The 6,000-nt window shown below is 40.9% G+C and overlaps 1 protein-coding gene across 1 annotated transcript in view, besides 2 other annotated features; it reads left to right on the forward strand.

The window, feature by feature from the left end:
- Positions 307–366: an enhancer, noted in NCBI's record as "active region_1444". NCBI's record gives its function as "activates an Ori minimal core promoter by ATAC-STARR-seq in GM12878 lymphoblastoid cells {active_cell/tissue: GM12878}" and the evidence as "EXISTENCE:reporter gene assay evidence [ECO:0000049][PMID:35858748]".
- GNAI3 (G protein subunit alpha i3) overlaps positions 780–6,000 on the forward strand; it is a 51,581-nt gene continuing 46,360 nt past the window's right edge. The window contains exon 1 of the mRNA NM_006496.4: positions 780–1,003. Within this exon, the coding sequence (NP_006487.1) occupies positions 886–1,003 (118 nt within the window). The 5' untranslated portion in view covers positions 780–885. The remainder of the gene's footprint in view (positions 1,004–6,000) is intronic.
- Positions 897–1,066: an enhancer, noted in NCBI's record as "active region_1445". NCBI's record gives its function as "activates an Ori minimal core promoter by ATAC-STARR-seq in GM12878 lymphoblastoid cells {active_cell/tissue: GM12878}" and the evidence as "EXISTENCE:reporter gene assay evidence [ECO:0000049][PMID:35858748]".

Below are 6,000 nucleotides of genomic sequence, written 5' to 3' on the forward strand. Positions count from 1 at the left end.
AGACCCTAAGGTAGGAAGATCTGAATTATACTGGAGAGAAGGGCAGCATGGAAATTTTATGGAGGAACTACAGGCTTACCTTTCAGGTTATCGAGTATCTGCTAGCGATTTCAAGTGGCCTTTTGCCAATATAGGAGTTAAGCAAATCTCAAGCCCACAGAAATACGTGAATAGCAAAAGGACCAGGGGACATTTTGAGAGGAGTCAGTGGGCCAGAGACGGCAAAAAGTTATTGCTGAGGTCCTAAGCACAGTCGGTGTTACGATCTCAGATGTGAGACGTGAACGGCGCCCAGGCCGGATAGCTTGTTCCCATTCCATTGATCTGAGATAACCCCAACGGAGGCAGTGTCCCATACTTGGGTAGGGGTCCCGAGTCTCCACAGCCAGAGATCAAAGGAGTTTTCTGGCAGGCGAGAAATTACCAGCAGATATTCCCGCGCGGGATGTAGGCTTTAATTTAGAAATCTCCGCCCCAAAACTGGCATCTTGAACGCGGGAGGGCATTATGAGTTAGAGGCCCCGGTTTTTCTCCATTTATCCAAATCAGGTAGCCGAAAGGTAAATGAGGCTTCAAGTTGGGCGGCGGGCAGCGAACTTGACAGAACCTCGAAACTCTGCAGATCCGCCGCCCAACCCAGCCGCCAGCTCCCCGTGACTTCCGCTTTCGGTCTCAACTCCTCTCCCTGAGGAGAGTGGTTTAAACGGTGAAGGCTGCGGGGCGTCGCCGGAAGTGTCGTAAACGTCGGATATCCGGTTCTTCTGGGCGCTAAGGGAGCTGACGGAGAGGGCCACCGCCCAGCAATAGACGGTGCCTCAGCCTGCCGAGCCGCAGTTTCCGTGGTGTGAGTGAGTCCGGGCCCGTGTCCCCTCTCCCGCCGCCGCCATGGGCTGCACGTTGAGCGCCGAAGACAAGGCGGCAGTGGAGCGAAGCAAGATGATCGACCGCAACTTACGGGAGGACGGGGAAAAAGCGGCCAAAGAAGTGAAGCTGCTGCTACTCGGTGAGGGGCTGGAGGCGGGGACTGAGTGGTGGTCGGGAGAGCCTAGGCGCTTGGAAGGCCTGAACGGGGTCTGGTCGGGCCGACGGAAAGGACCCTAAAGGGATCTGGAGGGCGTGCCGGGCGTGGGGCGGGGTGTTGGGGTTCCTAGCTGAGGCCCCAGAGGGCGTGATGAGGGGGGTGGGGTTTTGGGGTTGCGGGAATTAGGCTGTAGAGGGTGTGACTCCGGGCTAGAATTGCGTTTAGCAGAGAGACTTGGGAGTATGGGCCGGTAGATGTTGAGGGAGTAGGAATATGGGAAAAGCTCATAAAGGAAGAGTTGATACTAGGAAGGTTTTACGTTGGGTTGGAGCGTGTTGGTAACGAGAACGGCATAGAGTATATGTTGGGCTTGTATAATGGTTTGTGAGTTTGGAGCGTCGTGGTTCTTTGGCAGGATAAAGCTAGCAGGCTTGAATGGATGGTACAGAGACTGGAACAGAATGGTCACATAAGGACGTTGACATTTGTTAGTAAGAGAGCCATTTGAACTGTTGGAAGAACCCTGGATTATCCAGGAACATGAAGATAGGTAGGTGAGATAAATGACAAGTTATCAGGTATAAAGGAAAAGAGCTTGGGTGCAGAGGCCATCTCTACTTTTCCACCGTTTCCTATCATTTTTATTTTCAAAGTTTTATAACGTCTTCTTCTGTTTTTACAAAAGGATGGGAAATGGTGTGAGCTGAAGAAATTTAAAGAATGATTTCTTTGAGGTTTGTAGCAGAAGATCTAGTGAACAAGAGATTACACATTGGAGGATGCTGAATAGTTGCTATAGATGATGTGTAGTTGGAATAGTTACCTTAGGATAAGTTACAGAGTTGGACATATTCACTGTAAAGACTATGGTAGACTTCTGGTGGCTGTTTTATCCTTTTTGGCCTCTTCAAAGCAAAACCATTGACTTCAGGAATTACTGTTTATGTTATTTGATAGTCGTTTTAATTGGCTTTTTTTAAACACAGTCGGATGTATTTTACTCAACATGAGTTTCAAAATTTTTGAGAGGCTCAGTAAATCATACAAAGAATACTGGCATTAGCTTACTAATAAATCAAGCCACATTTCTTCATTATTAGTGAAGATTTTCTAGGGTAGTATTTCCATTATTTTCCAATATTTTCTAGGGTAGTATTTCCATTAGAGAAGAATAAGTAGGAGTAGGGGTTTCTACAGAAACCCTTACAAGCAATAGAAATTTACTTTTTAAAACAATTGATTTTTGAGGAAAAGGAGTCACTTTAGGGGAAATGCTAAATTTTCATGGTATAAAGCTCCAGAGAACAGAATGTACACTGTAACCCAAGACTTATTTTGTACATTCTAAGTGCCCCTGTTAGTCTCTTCGTGTGAACATATTTGGTTGGTTGTAGATTGCAGAAGCTCTGGTAATAGCTTTTTTGAATATACTATAAAGGGAAAGTTATGTATTGGAGCTTAAGGTTCCGGTTTGTATACCTGAACTTTCAGAAGATGCGAGTTCAAATTGTAGTTCTAGACTGCGACTGTCTGTATAACAGGTGGATATGCATGGTCCCTGGTACCTAGTAGGTGCTCCTTAAATATTTACTGTTAACCAGCCTGAGCCAGCAAATGTTGAACACTGGTCCTTGGGGCCTTTGAGAAATTTGATATAAACTATAACATTCAGGGCGTTAACTTTTTTTTTTTTTTGAGACGGAGTCTCCCTCTGTTGCCTAGGCTGGAGTGCAGTGGCGCGATCTCGTCTCACTGCAACCTCCACCTCTCGGGTTCACGCCATTCTCCTGCCTCAGCCTCCCAAGTAGCTGGGACTACAGGCGCCCGCCACCACGCCTGGCTAATTTTTTGTATTTTTAGTAGAGACGGGGTTTCACCGTGTTAGCCAGGATGGTCTCAATCTCCTGACCTTGTGATCCACCCGCCTTGGCCTCCCAAAGTGCTGGGATTATAGGCGTGAGGCCACCGTGCCTGGCCAGCATTTTCTTTATTGATCGATTGGTTATGAAAGTAAAGATGTATTCTCATCTTCTGTGAGTGATTTGATTTACACTGACCAACAGAGATACCCTTAGGACATCAGTTTATTGTAATGTAGTTGGAAACTTTGAGACTTTCTTCCAAAATGCAGGATTAGGCAGGCAGAATTTGGATAGGCGGAACTTGTCCAGATGTCTAGAAGAATTTTTGTTCAGGATTTTATCTGTAGTGCATTTAATTAAAAACAAAATTAGACACTTGACTTAGGGAACTTGAAAAGCAGTAAGTAAAAATCAAAGTACTAAACATATTTGCTTTTAATTTTTACCAACTTCATTCTTTTTTAAGTAAGATTTTTAAAATATTCTTGAGCAAGTTAAATCCACAAATTCAAATAGGTTGCAGAAACATATGTTCTTGCTTGAGCCATATCATAACACACATAGGAAATTAAAATTATCTTCTATGCTATTTCTATAAGCAAAATGTACCCAAAACAGTATACAGTTTTCTTTTTCCTGGATAATGTCTCCTTTGCTGTAGATGCAAGTCATTTTTACTTTATCACTATGGAACTTAGTTTAAGTTGAGATCTATCTACTTACCCTGTGTCTCCTGACACATGATATATTTTCTTTCTTATGGGGGTGTAGTTTAACATGGTGATTAATAGCATGGGTCCTGAAGTCAGACTGCTTTAAATCCTAATTCCCATTTACTAGTTATAGCCTTGGGAAAGTTAATTTCTCTTGGCCTCAGTTTTCTTATCTTTAAAATGGAGAAAATAGAGCTACTCCTAGGATTGCTGTGAGGATTAAATATGGTAATAATGTAAAGCAGAACACAGCTTGGCACATAGTACTAGCTCCATGAAGATTAGCTATTCTTATTAAGTCAAAATGAATGTTACAGATTGTAGGTATTATGGAAATTATACCAAATTAAGCAGCTAGTGTGGGCCAGATTATTTACAGACACTTCAGTATTGTAATTCTTCCTTTGATAACCTTTGGTTTGAATTTCATTTAGATGTTCTTGGAAAGGGCTGGGCGTGGTGGCTCCTGGCTGTAATCCCATCACTTTGGGAGGCCGAGGCTGGTGGATCACCTGAGGTCAGGAGTTCGAGACCAGCCTGGCCAACATGGCGAAACCCCATCTCTACTAAAAGTACAAAAATTAGCCGGGCGTGGTGGTGTGCACCTGTAGTCCCAGCTACTTGGGAGGCTGAGGCAGGAGAATCGCTTGAACCCGGGAGGTGGAGGTTGCAGTGAGCAGAGATGACGCCACTGCACTCTAGCCTGGGTGACAAAGTGAGACTCTTTGTCTCAAAAAAAAAAAAAATAAAGTGTTCTTGGGAAGATCTTGGTATATCAAATTAGTGTTTAATTATGACATTCTATTGAAAAAATACCATGCAAAGCTTCCCAACCAATGTTCCAGTGCTTAGGATGGCATATAGGTGTGCTGTTTACAAATTTTTTATAGCATTGAAATTTTAAATCATTTTTATAAGTTCAAACTTTTACAACAGTTGAAATTACATTTGAACATCTTTGGTATGATTTCCTCTTGTATAATTCATGAATTTGGTAATTTGGTTATTTACTATTTAAACAATTAGAGATGGGGGTCTCATTATGTTGCCCAGGCTGGTCTCAAATGCTTGGCCTCATGTGATTCTCCCATCTCAGCCTCCCAAAGTGCTGGGATTACCAGTGTGAGCCACTGTGCCTACCCTACCATGAATTTGGTAATTTGAAAAAATTTTATTTGGTATAAATACTAAATTTATACCAATTTAATATTTAATATCATTTGTAATACTTTGTATTTTTTTCATGCCATAATTTCATAATAAGAAATTTTGTGTGTGCGGGTTTTGTTTTTGTTTTTTTTTGACCCCAGGGCAAGCAAGAAAATTTTTTTTCACCAAGCTCTTTCAGCTCACCCCAATGAGCCTTACAAATATTTTTAATGTGTGCCATCATGTGACAAAGGTTGGGAAGCACTGGTATAATGGATAAGAGCACTGCTTTTGGATTCACACAAAACTGAATTTAAGTTCTACCTCCACTTATTAGCTCTGAGACCCAGAGCAAGTAACTTAACCATAAGAATAATAATTTTTACATATGTAAAGCAGAGATGATGTTTCATAATATGAAATGAGATAATGCATGTAAAATGCTTCACATTAGTGCCTAGCAAATAAAAAATAGTAAGTGGTCACTTCTATTGATGATGATGATCGTGAGAATTACCATTTTAGCTACTTTTTTCAGAGGTTTTTCAGACAGCTGTTTTATTATTTTTCATATTAATATACTATTTTCAAAGATCTTCAAAGAATTTTAATATCCTTTTGTGGTGAAAGGAATTAAATGTTAGTCCTTTTTTTTTACTCATCACTGTACTAATGAAGATACTTAGTTTTGTAAATTATTGAATTATCTGCTCTCTGTATTTCTGTTTCTTGATAGTTTCCTTTAGCAGGTTCTGAGAAAACATAAAAAAAAACTTTGTTCTTTGGGATTTGCTGGTGGTAGTATGGCAAAAAGCCAGTTGCATGCAGAGAACTGGAATCATCTAATTTACTTAAACTCTATATTATACAGTTAATTATATTTAAATTGCTGCATATTATTGGCTGAATATGCTTATTATTGAGAATAAGACTGCCCTTTGGTAAACATGCCATTACATTATATCCTCCTATGGGATTATACCCTTTATTATGTTTGCCATTTGCTTGGGATAAGGTTCATGGCCAGTTACATTTCATGTGAGGATGCATCTGTGTTTCGGGGAAAAAAAGCTTTGTGTTTTATAAGCATGTATCATTCTTTGTGTCTTTTATTTAAATGCATTAGTCACTTTTTTAACATTTCAATAGGTTTTTGGGGAACAGGTTATGTTTGGTTACGTGAATAAGTTTAGTGGCAATTTCTGAGATTTTGGTGCACCCATCACCTGAGCAGTCTACACTGTACCCAATGTAT

This window comes from Homo sapiens, chromosome 1 (genome assembly GCF_000001405.40).
Source record: "Homo sapiens chromosome 1, GRCh38.p14 Primary Assembly".
NCBI lineage: Eukaryota > Metazoa > Chordata > Mammalia > Primates > Hominidae > Homo > Homo sapiens.